General features: G+C 39.9%; 1 protein-coding gene across 3 annotated transcripts in view, besides 3 other annotated features; it reads right to left on the bottom strand.

Moving 5' to 3' along the window:
• The window catches only part of ZNF207 (zinc finger protein 207), a 31,729-nt gene that overhangs the window by 12,417 nt on the left and 618 nt on the right, over positions 1 to 18,694 (bottom strand). Inside the window, exons 2-11 of one of the 3 annotated variants that reach the window (NM_001098507.2) lie at positions 17,557 to 17,683; positions 10,828 to 10,966; positions 8,704 to 8,871; positions 8,502 to 8,577; positions 7,954 to 8,001; positions 6,485 to 6,555; positions 3,982 to 4,139; positions 2,712 to 2,804; positions 1,455 to 1,697; positions 15 to 174 (exon numbers count right to left, since the gene is read on the bottom strand). In NM_001098507.2, the coding sequence (NP_001091977.1) occupies positions 15 to 174; positions 1,455 to 1,697; positions 2,712 to 2,804; positions 3,982 to 4,139; positions 6,485 to 6,555; positions 7,954 to 8,001; positions 8,502 to 8,577; positions 8,704 to 8,871; positions 10,828 to 10,966; positions 17,557 to 17,683 (1,283 nt within the window). The remainder of the gene's footprint in view (positions 1 to 14; positions 175 to 1,454; positions 1,698 to 2,711; positions 2,805 to 3,981; positions 4,140 to 6,484; positions 6,556 to 7,953; positions 8,002 to 8,501; positions 8,578 to 8,703; positions 8,872 to 10,827; positions 10,967 to 17,556; positions 17,684 to 18,694) is intronic. The other 2 variants (NM_001032293.3, NM_003457.4) reach the window with 2 other exon arrangements.
• Positions 11,592 to 11,792: a silencer, noted in NCBI's record as "peak2801 fragment used in MPRA reporter construct". NCBI's record gives its function as "represses an SCP1 promoter by STARR-seq MPRAs in K562 erythroleukemia cells {active_cell/tissue: K562}" and the evidence as "EXISTENCE:reporter gene assay evidence [ECO:0000049][PMID:32103011]".
• Positions 14,728 to 15,229: an enhancer, noted in NCBI's record as "H3K27ac hESC enhancer chr17:30681259-30681760 (GRCh37/hg19 assembly coordinates)". NCBI's record gives its function as "activates a minimal SCP1, AML or CMV promoter by ChIP-STARR-seq in primed H9 embryonic stem cells {active_cell/tissue: H9 hESC(primed)}" and the evidence as "EXISTENCE:reporter gene assay evidence [ECO:0000049][PMID:30033119]".
• Positions 16,546 to 17,055: an enhancer, noted in NCBI's record as "H3K4me1 hESC enhancer chr17:30679433-30679942 (GRCh37/hg19 assembly coordinates)". NCBI's record gives its function as "activates a minimal SCP1, AML or CMV promoter by ChIP-STARR-seq in primed H9 embryonic stem cells {active_cell/tissue: H9 hESC(primed)}" and the evidence as "EXISTENCE:reporter gene assay evidence [ECO:0000049][PMID:30033119]".

Genomic DNA, 18,694 nt, shown 5'->3' with positions numbered 1-18,694 from the left:
AAAAAGAGGAATACCATGAGGTGGCATTGGGGGTCTCATTCCTTGTTGCTGTGGGATGCCTGGCTGTGGTGGCATCATACCTCCAATTGGTCCAACTGGTGGATTACCGATGGGGGCCTGTCCTGGCCGAGGAAGATTACGTTGATACTTAGGTAACTGTGCCCTTCTCTCTTCCTGGGAATAAAAATAAGCGCAGGGCTAAATACTCGAATGCAGAGGCTCACCAAGCATAAAGGCATGCATCTAAAATCTTACAACGTTAAGAGTAATTTTCAAAAATTTACCCTTACATCCCAACTATTTACTTTTGCCAGACAAACCAATCCAACTACTTAAACTCTAGATACCTTAAAACTTCACCTATTTGTAAACTTGAAGCATGGCTAACAACTTTCCGGGAATTACAAATTGCTTCAACAAGAAACTATCTAATGAAGTATTGTTATTAACATTCTTTTTTTTTTTGAGACGGGGTTTCACTCATTGTCCAGGCTGGAGTGCAATGGCCTGGTCTCAGCTCACCACAACCTCCGCCTCCCGGGTTCAAGAAATTCTCCTGCCTCAGCCTCCGGAGTAGCTGGGATTACAGGCATGCACCGCCACGCCCGGCTAATTCTGTATTTTTAGGAGAGATGGGGTTTCTCCACAATGGTCAGGCTGGTCTCGAACTCCCGACCCTCAGGTGATCCACCCGCCTCGGCCTCCCAAAGTGCTGGGATTACCGGTGTGAGCCACTGCGCGCCCGGCCAACATTCCATTTTTTTCTTTTTTTTTTTTTGAGATGGAGTCTTGCTCTGTTGCCCAGGCTGGAGTGCAGTGGTGCAATCTTGGCTCAACGCAACCTCCGCCTCCCAAGTTCAACTGATGATCCCGCCTCAGCCTCCCGAGTAGCTGGGATTACAGGTGCCCGCCACTACACACTGCTAATTTTTGTATGGATGAGGTTTCACCATGTTGGCCAGGCTGGTCTTGAACTCCTGATCAAGTGATCTGCCTGTCTTGGCCTCCCAAAGTGCTGGAATTATAGGCGTGAGCCACCACACCTGGCCATTATCAACATTCTAAACATTAACTTTGTATCAAAATTCATTCATTTATATGGGACTTAAGGGATCTGCAGATTCTACTTCACACTTAACGTTTATTCAATTAACATATGCAAACTTATGTTTAACTAAAATGATTTTTAAGAGAGTTAAGAACCTGACTTACTGTCTTCTTTTAGAAACAGTCTGGAGGAAGGGGAGAGAAACCATCTAAGACCAAAACATGCAATATCTGTCCACTTTAAGTATTTTATGATTTCTTAAGAATCAGAATGGCAAAAACCACTTAGTGAGCATTAAACCAGATCACAGACCATCTGAGTACAAATGAACACTTATTTTAAAGGGACGAACTGCTATAATGGCTTTAAATCAAATGCTGCTCGTAGAAAACTAAAAGCAACTTACCAGGGATATATCCTCATCTGGATGGATCAACTTACTGGTTGCACTAGTTGTTGTAAGTGTAGCAGGCTTACTTGTTATTGAAGCCGCTGGTTTAGCTGCAGTACTATTTGTTGTACTAGTTGTTGAAGCTGTAGACTGTGTATAAGCAGGGAATGTAGGCTTTGGGGGTTCTGTAGTTGTTGCAGGGGTACTATTTAAGGGTTTGAAATCTGTACCAACAGGTCCTTGGACAGCTGCCTGAGCCTGTAAAATACAATACTTCATCAACGAAACTTCAAAACCTTAAATTAACTATATCTACAACAGTTTAACTTAAAACAAGGCATCAACATTAAATAAAGGACCAAACTTTAAATGAAATTAATACAAAGTTAATGTGATAAACATTCCACAAAATTCAAGATAACCCATAAAAATATCAAAAGATGCTAGGTTAAAGTCACACCCACAACACAGCAGTGGAAATAAGACTGCATATTTAACTTGTTAGATGTCTTCTACCTCCTCACCAAAAATTAAATTTACAATGCTTTGTATTTATTCCAGATTGCTGAAATACAGTATCTTAGAATAGCATGTGTTCTATTTTTAATGTTCTATTAATTAGTTATTAATCTATCAAACAGCTAAAAAAAAAACTACAGAATATGAGTTTAAACTCGTTACTAACTATAACATGAACAGTGTAAATGGTGACACAATAAAAATACATCCTTTAGTAGTATTCTTTATATATATATATATATATATATATATATATATATATATATATATAATCCCCTCCAAATTAACAATGGCTGGATAATTATCATGGACAAAGGAGTTAATTTAGCAGGATCTTTTAAAGTAGCAAGTTATCAGTAACAAATATGTTACTTTTCATAATACCACACATCTAAAACATGTAGACTAGGCCAACTTTAGAACCAAAGCAGTATTAAATTTTCTTACATTAAATGTGATGCATTAAACAGCATTAAATCAAAATAGCTTAATCATGCATCAGGCTAACCATTGGCCACTATAATGCATTTACTGCTTACATGCTTTTAACCCTTTAGAACCACAGGAGTTCGGGGTAGTTTTGTTTAGTATGAATTCAAATTTTTAAATACCATTTGACTTATATAGCATTAATTTTGCTTTAAAAAAGTAAACACAGTATATTTTTGGAAAAATATTCATTTTTTAAGTAGGGTCCAAAGGGTTAAGTTATAAAGCCATTTTAACAATTTTAAACTGCAACTTCCTGCGTACTTGTGCTGTGCTAGGAAACAGAGCTTTAGAAGATGCAGACAGACTTTCTGAATTGGATGAAGCTGTACTTGAGCTTGTGACAGGTGTCCCCATCTGTAGCATAAAAGAAAGGAAACAATGAAAAGTCTCCAAACAAATGGGTCAAAATAAGCCATGTGGTAGACTTTTTAGTAGATTGCATATTTGTAAATGCAAAATTTAATGCAATCAAATGTCACTTATTTTAAAAGGCAGGCAGTTAATGCATTTACAATAAACAAAATTAAAGTATGAGCCTCAAAATTTTAATTCTAAATCAATAAAACCTAGTTAACTAGTTTCTTTTCTAAAACTACTGTTTTGCATTATTTCAAGAATGATACCTGAAACTGAGAATAACGATGTACAAATACTGACACTTCAATCCAATTCTGTATCAATGATTCTCTACAAAAGATTTTTGCCAAAAGTTTTACATCTCTCAATACATAAAATTTCCACCCACCATAAAAGCTAGGTTAATGTGCTTAACAAAAGGCACTTAAAGAAAATGCTTTTAATTTAGCACCCACAAACAGAAAAAAGCAATTTAAAAAAATCTAAGGGATAATCTAAAAAAGAAAATGAATAAACATACATCCCGATCTAAATTCTGAATAAATTAAATCTGAATCTGCTTCTCAATGAAACTAGGAAAAAAAGCAAAGGTGTTAACCATCATGTGTATACCATATAGAACAGAAGCATCTTTCACTTATGCTCTGGAAAAAAGACTTTTAAAAGCTTTGAAAAAAGACCAGTAAGAAATACCAGTGTGCCTAGGTCAAAAGCCATTAAATTACGCCATTTTAGCACAAGTGCGGCATTGTAGCTCATCACTGTTCCGTACTAGAGGCAGAGCCTGACAAATGATTTGCTACCGTCTTAAGAATGCTAATCTTTGACTTTGGTGTCCTTCCATTCAGTTTAGTCAGTAAAGGAAAACTTCTAAACGCTCCAGATACTAAACTTTCATTAGCTTAAAAAAAAAAAAAAAAAAACTAAGAATAAATAGGGTTCACAGCTATGAAAAAGTAACATACTAACTTTGGCTCCGTTCAACCTTTTATGGGTAGAGGAAATCAGTGTGTAAACATGGAAGTGGATAAGCCACCTTTTAGTATATTTAATAAATAATATTAAAAATATTATAAACAAAAAAATTGACCTATGAAAATTTCAAAGACTTCTGTAAACAACTGTACTTTATCTTTAAATATAAGTGCACTCCTTTTCAGGATTTTCACCTTACCTGTCCAGCACTGGGGAAAAGAGGCTTAGTAACTGGAGGCTGTGGGGCAGGTACAGTTGCTGTTGGTGCAGGTGGTCTATTAAGAATACCTGGCGCTGAAACAGCCTGTGCTTGAGTCATTGGAGGAATTCCAGGACGTGGAACAGGTGGGGGCATACCTGCAGAGAAGAAATGTTTGGGGAAATTGAGTCACTGAAAAATTTAGTGTGGAAAAAAACGCTTCTATACTACAAAGTTATTAACAATTAACTGCTCAATGACTCGACTAAATCCAAGGAACTTAGGCATTTGCCCCATGCAACATTCTTACCTTAAATTTTCCCTTCCTTTGTACTGCTTCAGAATTTTACGAAGTGGAAGATAACACTAGACCCTGCTGCATGGGCAAAACATTTGGCAATTATGCTTACTGGTCCTACTGATTTAGCAAACTTCTTGCAATATATAAAAGAATTATTTCAATCAGCTACAAGACAGATATTTAAATACTCCCTGAACCCTAGTGCAAATTACAGTAAAAACTGATGAATCAAATATCATGAACAATAAAAACTTTTCCAAAGTTAAACACATCACTACTACATACTTTAAACTTCCTCAACATGACAAAACTTTTAATGACTTCACATTCTCAAATGAACATCAATTATTATTCTGTATTCTTTTAAATACCTAAATATGTACCACAACATAATGTATATGGAACTGCCTGGCAATTATTCATAGTTTGTTGATGCTTTATTTTTCCTGTGTCCATTTACATCAACTATCATTTCAGTACTCTAAATATGCTATGGATTGCAAACACACCAACATAAAACGCAGGCTAGGGCCGGGCACAGTGGCTCACGACTATAATCCCAGCACTTTGGGAGGCCGAGGCAGATGGATCACGAGATCAGGAGTTCGAGACCAGCCTGACCAACATGGTGAAACCCCATCTCTATTAAAAATACAACAATTTGTCGGGTGGGGTGGCACACTCCTGTAATCCCAGCTACTCAGGAGGCTGAGGCAGGAGAAAATCGCTTGAACCCAGGAGGCGGATGTTGTGGTGAGCTGAAATCACACCACTGCTCTCCAGCCTGGGCAACAGAGCAAAACTCCATCTCAAAAAAAAAAAAAAGAAAAAAAAACAACTAATAGCCTCGTGTGGCACATCTTGCTGGCCAACCAAATCCCTTTCCTTGTGCTGTATTTCCTGCTTTATAGGCCAAATTCTATATACTTAATTTCCCAGGTTCCCTCACAGCATAATACGTAAGGAGCTAAAGAGCTTCTGGGAAAGTTATTTTGGTTCCAAATAGAAGAAAAAGGAGGCCAGGTGCTGAGGCTCACTCACACCTGTAATCCCAGCACTTTGGGAGGCTGCGGCTGCAGTGAGCTATGATCGTGCCACGGCACATCAGCACGAGTATCAGACCAACACCCTGTCTCAAAAAAAAAAAAGAAGAAAAGAAAATGGAGAGTGCACTACAACCGACACCCCTTCTTGTCTGAGCTGTCTTATAACCAAATGACATTTCTGAGGAAAAAAAGCTAAGGTGAGCAAAGTCAAAAAAAGCATGGGTTAATAAATATCATTGAGCCACTGAATCTACCACTTTTTTGTTGACTGAGACAATGAATGCCTACACCGTTTAATACAGTTTGTTGGGGCTGGGCACAGTGGCTCACGCCTGTAATCCCAGCACTTCGGGAGGCCAAGGCAGGCGGATAACCTGAGGTCAGGAGTTTGAGACCAGCTGGCCGACATGGCGAAACCCCATCTCTACTAAAAATACAAAAATGAGCCAGGCGTGGTAGTGGGCGCCTGTACTCCCAGCTACTCGGGAGGCTGAGGCAGGAGAATCACTTGAACCCCGGAAGCAGAGGTTGCAGTGAGCCGAGATCATGCTCCAGCCTGGGTGACAGAGCGAGATTCCATCTCAAAAAAAAAAAAAAAAAAAAAAAAAAAAGTTTGTTGGATTTCTCTATTACTTGTCTAAAACATTCCTAACAAATACAAGCGCTCTAAGTATGTGAGATTCAGCACATAGGCCGTGACTCACTTTGGCTGCTTTGAAACCTATCATCTATTTCAAACTTCAAGAAAGGGCCAGCCAGGCGTGGTGGCTCACACCTGTAATCCCAGCACTTTGGGAGGCCAAGGTGGGTGGATCACCTGAGGTCAGAAGTTCAAGACCAACCTGGTCAACATGGTAAAACCCCGTCTCTACTAAATACACAAAAATTAGCCAGGTGTGGTAGCAGGCGCCTGTAATCCCAGCTACTCAGGAGGCTGAGGCAGAAGAATCGCCTGAACCTGTGAGGCAGAGGTTGCAGTGAGCCGAGATATCTACCAAAATACATTTTTTAAAAAAGGGTCCATATAACACTTCTCACAGGAACTTGCAACTTTCAAAAATTTTTAAATTTCATTATACTAATGCCCACAGACGTCTAAAAAAACTTAGAAATAAAGCCTGTACATCATATTAAAATGAAATTATCTAACATATACCTGGTGGCATTCCAGGCATCAGAGGTGGTATTCCTGGTCCAGGTGGCATCATTCCACCCATTGGCATCATTCTATTAGAAAGCAAATTTCAAGAAACAGTAAGTTAATGAACAGCATAAACCATTAAAAAATATTCTGGCTAAAGCCTGAAACAACACTAGATAGAAGACTTGAATCTGACCTCTAATACTGAAATGAATCAAAGCTGAAAGAACACACAACACACTGTAACAATCCTATCAAAATAAATTGTCTAAAACCCAGCAAACTCTTTGGTTTACCAATAAAAAAAAAATGTTGACAAAACATTTAAAGTCATTTGAGAACAAATATACTCTCAATATGTACAAGAGGCCTCATCTAAAATATGTGTAATGGGAAAGCAAATTCACCACTTTTTCCACTTGGAAAATATCCACAGAGTATTAAAGAAAAAGAAGAAATCTCTATTTCAGAGTTGTGTTGGATTTTGAAAAGAAAAAGATTGAATGAATGTACCCTGTGAAATGAGATTTTTTATTTGGCTAGGTGCAGCAGCTCATGCCTATAATCCCAGAAGTTTTGAGAGGCCAAGGCTCAAGGACTGCTTGAACTCAGGAGTTCAAACCAGGCTGGGCAAAAAGTGAGACCATAACTTTTTAAAAAAGCAAAAATTTTAAACATTAGCTGGGTGCAGTAGTGTGCGCCTGTAGTCCCAGATACTCAGAGGGCTGAGGTGGGAGGATCACTTGAGCCCAGGAGGTCAAGGCTGCAGTAAGCTGTGACTGCGCCACTGCACTGTAGTCTGGGCGACAGAGTAAGAGACCCTGTGTCAAATACATACATATACACACACACACACACACACACACACTTTTTTTTTTTAGAGAAAGGAAATACTACCACCAAAATTAAAGACACTCAAAAGTAAAACCAGATGGCCTATTTACAATAACTACCTACCACTAAACCATGACTTAAAAACACAACCCACTTATTTTTTCCCCTAAAAGAGCTCACCTTCAAATATCAGTGTCCAATTCACTTAAAAAATGATAAATTGGTCAATTTTCTTTCAAATTTTTTAAATTTTTGTGGGTAAATTCAGTTCTTGATTTAAAATTTTTATCAGAAGATTAACTTCTATTAATAGATTAGAAAATTCCATTACATCCTATAATAATAAAGCATGTAATTTCATAGAATATAGTCTTTCTTAAATACTAACCCTTATTAACAGGTCCCATTACTTTCAATAGTTTGGAGAAAATCACTGCACATTTGAAGTATGTTTATATGGGTCTATTACCGTTTCCTAAAAGATGTTTTATTTTCCTTCTTTAAGAGACCTGTGTTAATTAGCTTGCAAGTTTTAGTGAGGAAGGTTAGAAAATTTCTGAAGTCAACTGAATAGATACCATTAAACACACACATAAAAAAATGACAGTATGATTATACCTCCTGAATTACATTATGAATGAGATGCTTACATGTTTTCACCGCAAAATGACTGGGTGTATTTTCTCTGATGATGCAATCTGTGAAAATGTATGACAAAATCAAAATCTAACTGTGATTTTCAAAATACAGTGGGAAAGTGTATTGTATACCTCTCACATCCAACAATATTTAAGTAAAAGTGATGGGCACAAGCACCTCATATTCATTTTAGTTTTGATGCTTTGACAAATAAATCATTTACAGAGTTTCTCTGCTTCTTGTCACAACTACAAAGTGTCACAGATAATTCTGAATCTCAGAAACGCAAATCTATAAATAACCAACTACTTTAATCACAGTAAATGCAATTGAAGTAGATGGTTGCTTACATATACCCTAAAACCCAAAAATCTATTACTCAGAGGCAAATTTATATTCCTTAAATTTACTGGTTGATCCCTTTATTAGACAAGATATATAGAGCCCATACCTTCTAGAAGCAAAAAATGGAAAGTAACATTTCATTCATATAACATCCAAATTGAAAAAGATCATTACTAGGCACAAGCCTACAGGGCAATTAAAAGAATTTTCTTACCCAGGTGGCATGCCTGGCATAACTGGTGGCATTCCTGGCATCAGAGGAGGAACACCTGGCATTAATGGAGGTATGCCTACAAGCAAGAATTTCAATCAAAATAATAACAAATATTAAAGAGTTAGAGGGAAGAAAGTAATACTTCGATACAATATCAATAATGTCCTAAAAATGTTAGATTTTAAGCAATCCTATGTGCTACCTGGAGGCATTCCTGGTGCTCCTGGTACTGGTGGCAGTCCTGGCTGTGCCATTGGAGGAATATAACCTTGCTGAGGTTGAACAGGCTGTGGCTGAAATGAAGTTGAGGCTGCAGAGTCGTCATCATCATATTCATCAGAATCATCTTGTTGCTTCTTTTTTTGACTTTCTGTTAAAAAAAAAAAATTATTTCCATAGAGTAAAAACTAAGAAAGTTTATTTACAACATTCAATATTTAAAAATACATATATGGGTAAAATTACTTCATGAGATTTTTCTTCCCCAAAAATTCAATTAATACTGCTCTATGTTCTTCAAATGTGTTTTCGCCCTATATTAAACAAGATTAACGTTCTTTCCCTGTCCTATGAAAGGTAAAATGATTATCCTAAATCAGTATTTTTTCTTTTAAATTTTTAGTAAAGTCTTGCTCTGCGATGCAGGCTGTACAGCAGTGGCACGACTGCAGCTCACTGCACTCTCAAACTCCTGGGCTGAAGCGATCCTCCCGCCACAGTCTCCCAAGTAGCTGGGACTGCAGACACATGCCACCACACTGGGCTTTTTTTTTTTTTTTTTGGGGGGGGGGTAAAGGTGAGGTCTTGAACTTTTGGCCTCAAGTGATCCTACGGCCTCAGCTACCTAAAGCACTGAAATTATAGGAGTCCTTCATTTTCATATGCCTTAACACTTGCTAATTCTATTTGGAATTCAATTATGAATAATAATATAAGAAAATGGAATGATCCAAATGGTACTGCATATATACAAATCAAGTATGTCTTCAAAAACAGAGCTCAAATTTTAAATTCCAAATAAATCTATCATCTACCATTCAATTTTATCTATCTATCAAGTGATCAATCAATCGATTTATCTAAATAGGATCTCACTCTGTTGCCCAGACTGGAGAATTCACAGCTCACTGAAGCCTCAACCCCTTGGGCTCAAGAGATCCTCCCACCTCAGCTTAGACTATAGGCATGTGCCACCACACCCGGCTAATTTTTGTATTTTTTTTTTGTAAAGACAGGGTGTCATTCTCTATTGCCTAGGTTGGTCTCCCAATTTCTGGGCTCAAGCAATTTTCCTGCACTGCCTGCCCATAGTGCTGGGATTACAGGTGTGAGCCACTCCAACTACCCTACCATTAAATTTATAATTGAAAATACTAACTCTGGGCTTAAGTGAGGCTGAAAAAAGAATATTATCACAAGGGGAGAGAGATGGTGGCTCACACCTGTAATCCCAGCACTTAGGGAGGCCTCAGCAGGTAGATTGCTTGAGGTCAGGAGTTTGAGACCAGCCTGACCAACATGGTGAAACCCCGTTTCTACTAAAAAATATAAAAACTAGGCCAGGTGTGGTGACTCACATCTGTAATCCCAGCACTTTGGGAGGCCGAGGCGGGCAGATCACGAGGTCAGGAGTTCAAGACCAGCCTGACCAACATGGTGAAACCCTGTCTCTACTAAAAACACAAAAATTAGCCAGGTGTGGTGGCACACACCTCTAATCCCAGCTACTCCGAAGGCTGAGGCAGGAGAATTGCTTGAACCTGGGAAGCGGAGGTTGTGGTAAGCCGAGATCGCACCTCTGCACTCCAGCCTGGGCAACAGAGTGAGACTCCATCTCAAAACAAAAACAAAAACAAACAAAAATCAGCTGGGTGTGGTGGCTTGCGCCTGTAATCCCAGCACTTTGCGAGGCAAAAGTGGGCAAATCACCACTTAGGGTCTGGAGTTCGAGACCAGCCTGACCAACATGGTAAAACCCCGTATCTACTAAAAACACAAAAACTAGCCGGGCGTGGTAGTGCATGCCTGTAGTGCCAGCTACTCAGGAGGCCAAGTCAAGAGAATGGCTTGAACCTGGGAAGCAGAGGTTGCAGTGCAATGAGCCGAGATCATGCTACTGCACTCCAGCCTGGCAACAGAGCAAGACTCCACCTCAAAAAAGAAAAAAACAAACAAACAATCACTTAAACCCCGGAGGCAGAAGATGCAGAGAGCCCAGATCACACCACTGTACTCCAGCCTCGGCTGGACAGAGTAAGCCTCTGTCTCAAAAAAAAAAAAATTAAAAAAAATAAATAAATAAAATAAAACTTATCCCAATATTTACCTTGTGTTTTCTGTTCAAGAAGTCGTCGTCTTTCATCCATGTCTTTTTCTGGAATACCTTCCATACCATATATTTCCAACTCTATGTCTGTTCTTCCAGGTATTGCATTTGGTACGGCATCTATTGTTTCTTTATGTACCTAACAACAACAATTTCCATTAGATAAAAGTCTTTTTTAAGAATAATTCCAAGTTAATCAAAGACTGCTTAGTATAAAGAATAAATGTTCTATAGTGAGGCCATGTAGAGCCAATTCCCAGTTTTGCCATTCACTAGCTCTGTGACATTAAGCATGTCAGTGAACTTCTAAGCCTCAGTTTACTTCACCTATATAATAGCTAACTTCTAGAGTTGTTTTTAGGATTAAATACTGTATATAAAAAACACTTGGCGAGATGTCTAACATACAGTAAGCATTCAATAAACATTCTTTCAAGTTTACCATATAATCTTGATTACTTCAATTATTAGCAGTAACTAGTAGTCCTATCCAAATCAGGGATGTTTCAAGTGTGAATTAAGTAAAGATTATGAAACAGCCTCATATTAAGAATTAGAATATAGCCAGGCGAGGTGGCTCACATCTGTAATCCCAGCACTTGGGAGGCCAAGACGGGTGGATCACCTGAGGTCAGGAGTTTGAGACCAGCCTGGCCAACGTGGCAAAACCCTGTCCCGACTAAAAATACAAAAAATTAGTCGGGTGTGGTGGGGTCTGCCTGTAATCCCAGCTACTGGGGAGGCTGAGGAGGCAGAATCACTTGAAGTGAGCAGAGGTCACACCACTGCAATCCAGCCTGCGTGAGAGGGAGAGTCCCTCAAAAAAAACAAAAAAAAAATTAGCAGGGCGTGGTGGTGCACACCCATAATCCCAGTCACTCGACAGGCTGAGGCATGAGAATCACTTGAACCTGGGAGGCAGAGGTTGCAGTGAGCACTCCAGCCTGGGCAGATACTGAGAGACTGTCTCCAAAAAAAATAAATAAAAAATAAAAAGTCAGGTGGGGCGGCTCACGCCTGTAATCCCAGCACTTTGGGAGGCCGAGGCGGGCGGATCACGAGGTCAAGAGTTCGAGACCAGCCTGACCAACATGGTGAAACCCCATCTCTACTAAAAATACAAAAATTAGCCGGGCATGGTGGCACGTGCCTGTAATCCCAGCTACTCAGGAGGCTGAGGCAGAAGAATCGCTTGAACACGGGAGGCAGAGGTTACAGTGAGCCGAGACCGTGCCACGGCACTCTAGCCTGGGCAAGAGAGCGAGATTCTGTCTCAAAAAAAAAAAAAAATAATAATAATAATAATAATAATAATAATAATAATAATAATTAGAATAGCAAATTTTCTAAGTATAGATCTTGAGACAAGCCTCTGGTTACAAACTAGAAAAGTTACATTTGCAATCAGTATCACTTGTAACTAATGAGTTACGTGAGGCATTTTACTTTTTTTTTTTTTTAAGACAGGGTCTCACTCTGCCACCCAAGCAGGAGTACAGTGCCATTATCTCAGTTCACTGCAACCTCCGCCTCCCAAGCTCAAGCCACCCTCCCACCTCAGCCTCCCAAGTAACTGGGACTACAGGTGCGTGCCGCCATGCCTGGCTAATTTTTGTATTTTCTGTGGCGAGGTAGTTTTGTTATGTTCCCCAGGCTGCTCTCAAACTCCTGAACTCAAGGGATCCACCCACCTCAGTGTCCTAAAGTGCTGGGTTACAGAGGTGAGCCACCATGCCCAGCCCTGAGGCACTTTAACATGTTTATTGCAACACACTGAAAATCTGGGATTTTTTTTCATTATATTGTTTTGCTACATAAGCGCTTCTAATCTTCAGATCTGGGTAACTTTTGCCAATAATGTAATATCCCTGCCAGTCTTGGTTTCTTCAGCAAGCCATTTTGCTGAAGTAGATGTCAAAGTATTTTGCCTAGACTATCAAGCCTTTCTGGAAATGCTAATGCATGCTCAAGTTTGAGAAGCACTCATTTAGGCTAATGACTTAGATATATTTGCCCAAATAATACTCATTTTTTCTTTCCTCCTAAGACATTTTCATGTACGAACAGAAAAGTAACTACAAAAAGCTAAGTATTTTCTTCTTAGCAATGTATCTCACTTAAAGATTTGAAACTGGGGCATGCAAATCAAACTCAGAAATTATCTTAATATCTGATTGTTAAAAGCTATTCCTTATATTGCAATTAAAATATTTATGGATAAAGCGGCTTAACAAGTGACTTAATTGCCGTTTCCTAAGGTTTTTTGGAATATTTTGCTATTCTTAATAAAGAGATGATGCAACAGGCATTCTATAAACAATTACATTCACATACACACTAATCTTCACTACATTTTTGAGAAGGGCAACAATTAAAGGTGTATCTATTATGGTACAGCCAGAATTAGATTTCTTGGGACCCTGCCAAGCAAAGTCATAGCGTCTTGGTTGAAAAGACAGGAGCAAGCACTGATGAGAAACTGCAGGGAACCACCTAACTTACTAATAATGTCTTAGGGTTTATCATCTATAAAATTGGTATGATTTAACTGCCAGGTCTATCTCACAGGTTGCTGTGAAAATAGGACTAAATAAAGGCACTCAGACAATAATGTTACTAAGTTTCTCAACTAACCTTGAAGCTTCCACTCCACTTCTCTGCTCTTCATAAAGTGCAACTCCCTAAGAATGCCTTCGCTTCCTCTCCCTGTCTCTTCAAAGCACCGTAATCACACTTCACCCTCACCACTCTTGGAAATCGCTCTTTGTCAAGTCACCAATGACCTTATTAACCCAGTCTCAGTACTCTTACTGAACCAGCATTTGACTCAGTTAAATAACTCACTCCTTGAAACACGTCATTGACTTCCAGGGCACTACTCTTGGTTTTCCTACCTTTCATCTCCTTAGACGATTCCTTTTAATCTCCTGACCTTCAAATGTTGGAAGTGGCCTAGAGCAGAGAGCACCTAATTTCCAACCACACTACAGTCCTTACAAAGGACATCTGGTAGCGCGGCTTAAACTAGCCACCCTTACATTGTATGCGTCCAAATTTCTATCTCCTGTTTTAATTTCTATGAACTCCTGACTTGTACATCAAACTGCTTCGGTAACCTTTTCATCTGGATATTTAATAGACCTCAAACATACCTACACTCAAAATTAACACAGGACTCCCTTATTCTCATTCTTAAGCCTATTATCCCTGTAGCTTTTCACATCTCGTCATATGCTCAAAATAAACATTTTTGAGACAGGGTTTCACTCTTGTAGCCCAAGTTGGAGCTGAGTAGTGCTATCACGGCTCACTGCAGTCTCGTCCTCCCCAGCTCAAGCGATCCTCCTGCCTCAGCCTCCTGAGTAGCTGGGACACAGGCACGTGCCACCATGCCCAACTTTGCATTTTTTGTAGAGACAGGGTCTCATTATATTGCCCAGGCTAGTCTCGAACTATTAGGATCAAGTGATTAGTCCATCTCGGCCTACCAAAGTGCTGATTACAGGCGTGAGCCACCGCACCTAGCCAGACCATCTTGAGATCAACATCTTGAGACCACCCTTAACTCCTCACTTTTTCTTATACCCCATATCTAACCTATCAAACTCTGGTCTCTGTCACCATCTCCTCTTGTCTGGAATATTCTAAGTCTTCTAAAGTGGTCTCACCGTACTCTGCACTTTACTTTCAACCCTGCAGCCAGAAAAATCCTTTTAAAAAGTCTTACAGGCTGGGCGCAGTGGCTCACGCCTGTAATCCCAGCACTTTGGGAGGCCAAGGAAGGTGGATCAGGAGGTCAGGAGTTCAAGACCAGCCTGGCCAAGATGGTGAAACCCCATCTGTACTAAAAATACAAAACAATTAGCTAGGCACAATGGCAGGCGTCTGTAATCCCAGCTACTCGAGAGGCTGAGGCAGGAGAATTGCTTGAACCCGGAGGGCAGAGGCTGCGGTGAGCCGAGATCACGCCCACTGCACTCCAGCCTGGACGAAAGAGACTCCGTCTCAAGAAAAAAAAAAAAGTCTAATAGAGGCCAGCTGCAGTGACTTATGCCTGTAATCCCAGCACTTTGGGAGGCCAAAGTAGATGGGATCACTTGAGGCCAGGAGTTCAAGACCACCCTGGCCAACGTGGTGAAGCCCCATCTCTACTAAAAATACAACTCAGGCAGGCACGGTGGTGCATGCCTGTAATCCTAGCTATTTGGAAGGCTGATGCACAAGAATCACTTAAGCCCAGGAGGCGGAGGCTGCAGTGAGCACAAGACAGAGCAAAACTCCGTTTCAAAATAAAACAAAAAAAAAACTGACAGAGCATACATCTCTATTTAAACCCCTATTTCATTCAGAATTAAAGAAAATGGCCGGGCTCAGTGGCTCACAACTGTAATTCCAGCACTTTGGGAGGCCGAGTGGGAGAATCGATTGATCCTGGGAGTTGGGCGACCAGCCTGTGCAACATAGTGAGACCCTGTCTCTACAAAAATAAAATTTTAAAAATAGCCAGGTATGGTGGTACACAATTGTTGTCCCAGGTACTCAGGAGGCTAAGGTGGAAGGATCATTTGAGTAAGGGAGTTCAAAGTTGCGGTGAGCTATGATCTGCACTCCAGCCTGGACAACAGAATGAGACCCTGTCAATCAATCAAAACAAAATGTTCTTATCCACACTACCCAATATAAGTTAGCTACTTGACAGAGAAACTGAGCATTTAGATATTTATATCATTTTAAATAGCCACATGTAACTAATGGCTGCAACAGTGAACAGCTGTGAGTCTAACATGTAGTAGGTTCTCTAACAATTTTTTTTTTTTTTTTTTTTTTTTTGGAGACAGAGTCTCTGTCACCCAGGCTGGAGTGCAGTGGCACAAACTCAGCTCACCGCAAACTCTGCCTCCCGGGTTCAAGTGATTCTCCTGTCTCAGCACCCGCCTCGCGCCCCCCGCCCCCAGCCCTCCCCCCGCCCCCGTAGCCAGGACTACATGTGCCTGCCACCATGCCCAGCTAATTTTTGGTATTTGTAGAGATGGGGTTTCACCACGTTGGTCAGGCTGGTCTTGAAACCCTGACCTCAGGTGATCCACCAGCCTCGGCCTCCCAAAGTGCTGGGATTACAGGCGTGAGCCACCACATCTGGTCAACATTTTAAAATGAATATTAAATTATTGTTAAAGTATCTGGAGTGAAAAGGATCTATATAAATTTATCTTTAAACCTGGAGAAATCACGTCTCCCTACCTCCCACCCATAGTAGTTTCCAATGATTTGGTATTTGCTCATCTCATATTTCTGTAAGGTCTAATTTAGCAAAAATTCAGACAGCTCTAGGACTAAGCAAAGTAGAATAATGTTGAATGAGACATGAAGGTACTTACTAGATCTTAAAAAATATAAATTACAATGCTCTCGCTATTTATTAAAAGAACTTTAAAAACCTAGAAATTATTGTCATTATTATTATTATTGAGACAGAGTCTCACCCTGTTGCCCAGGCTGGAATGCAGTGGCACCATCTCAGCTCACTGCAACCTCTGCCTCCAGGGTTCAAATGATTCTCTTGCCTCAGCCTCCCCAGTAGCCAGGATTACAGGCCCATGCCACCACACCCGGCTAATTTTTGTATCTTTAGTAGAGATGGGGTTTCACCATGTTGGTCAGGCTGTCTTGAACTCCTGACCTTGTGATCCGCCCACCTTGGCCTCCCAAAGCGCTGGGATTACAGGCGTGAGCCACCGCGCCCAGCCGAAACCTAGAAATTATTAAATGAAATACAATTCTGGGCTGGCACAATGGCTCATGCCCATAATCCCAGGGCTTTGGGAGAACGAGGCAGGAAGACGGCTAGAACCCAGGAATATGAGGCTGCAGTGAGCCATAACCATGTCACTGCAATCCAGCCTGGGCCACAGAGCAAGGCCATCTCTTAAAAACAAAAGCAAAAAGTACAATGCTGCCATTCCAAAAGAAGTCCAATAAATAAATTGCTGAAATTAGCCTAGCCCCAAGCTACAGATAATAACAGATCCTTCAATGGCAGTGAGTAATGACTGCTAATTAAGTATTAATTCTTAAGGCCAGACCACCTACAAAATCTAAATCGCTGATCCTTGTTCTCTGCTCCAAGTACTCAGGAAATATTTAGTGATTTCGATATGTTACCAATCTAACCTAGTAAGGTACTATCAAACTAAATACAAATACAAACCCTCTTTAAACATAAAAAGCCAGTTTTGTTTATTGTCTTGATGGCTATCGAACAAATTTTTTGTTTTTTTTAATGCTGATTGGCTATCTTATCTTTTGCAGTAAGTAAGTGAACAAAAAAAAAACAAAACTACAGTTGTCAGAGAAATAAATGATTATTCTTTCGGCCAGGCGCGGTGGCTCACGCCTGTAATCCCAGCACTCTGGGAGGCCCAGGTGGGTGGATCACCTGAGGTCAGGAGTTCGAGACCAGCCTGGCCAACATGGTGAAACCCCAGTCTCTACTAAAAATACAAAAAATTAGCCGGGCATGGTGGCGGCTGCCTGTAGTCCCAACTACTCCGGAGGCTGAGGCAGAAGAATAGCTTGAACCCGAGAGGCAGAGGTTGCAGTGGGCCGAGATTGCACCACTGCACTCCAGCTTGGGCGACAAGACCGAAACTCAAAAAAATAAAAAAGATTATTCTTTCAAGTTGTTTCCAAATCACAAGCGGACAATAAATACAGAAGAAAAATCCTTACCTGCATGCAATGAATAGCTAAGCCAGGTCCTGTATACAATTTCTTGTGACATATATGGCATTTAAAATGCTTTGCTTTTTGGTGCTGAATAAGGATCTTCTCATCATCAAAATCTCTATTACAATACCTGATCAATACTGTTAAGGCACAAAGACAGCCTAATGATGACACTGCCTATAATAAAAACATATGGATAACATTACAATATGGGAACAGCTAAAACCAAAATGGTACTGTATAGAAACTCTGCTTTTTATATTTATTACACAATTAGGGACTACACTTGCCATGTTATTTCAGTATTTTCAATTTCCTAGAAGGCCAGCTCTCTTCACCACCCCAAAAAACACATCTCAATAATCAGCAATATACTTTGTCAAATTCCTGTGTTTAACAGAGATGTCGGTGAAACTTTTGTTATAAATATTTCAACATTTACAAATGCACACTGAGGACAGGAAAGAGTTCAGTTAAGAAATCCCTAAGGTTCTGTCAAGACAATTACTTCACTAGATATGAAGACGATAGCAATAACTGGATTAGGAATTTAGCAATATTTAGAATCTAAGAGTAACTATATGGTGAACAATAATCACATAATTTCGAATGAACAATCCATAAAGTTGTTTCCAATTCCGTATGAATTTATGTTGCCAAGCAATGTATTTAAATTCACAGATCAATAAAATCAATAAAGCAGAATTCTTACATCAATAAAACAGAATTCTTACCTCACTACTCAGATTTTCCTAAAATCACATTACAAAATTCGTAACCGTATTTAAGCTATTTTTAAAACTGTTACATAAACGCAGTACTGTAACAAGCCGCCTTTACGTACAAAACAGTAAATAAAATCAATTTTAATGTAAAGAATATTAACGCTTCCAGAAAAAGCATTAATACCACACTGTAGTAAGAGTTTTCCTAATAAGATAGGCACTTTTTAGTCCTACAAAGTTGGGTAACAGAAACTCCGCCCTGTGAGAACGCTTCCTGAAGATTAAGGCGCCTCTGGGTGAGACACGGAAGCTAGTTCTCCTCCCGCCCCGAAAAGAAAAAAAAAAAAAAAAAGGTTCGAAACCAGGGTTGACTAACTTGGTTCTTTACTAAACCGCCAATTCGAAAAAATAAACAC

This window comes from Homo sapiens, chromosome 17, assembly GCF_000001405.40.
Source record: "Homo sapiens chromosome 17, GRCh38.p14 Primary Assembly".
NCBI classification, from domain to species: domain Eukaryota; kingdom Metazoa; phylum Chordata; class Mammalia; order Primates; family Hominidae; genus Homo; species Homo sapiens.
This window is presented reverse-complemented; position numbering and strand designations above follow the sequence as displayed.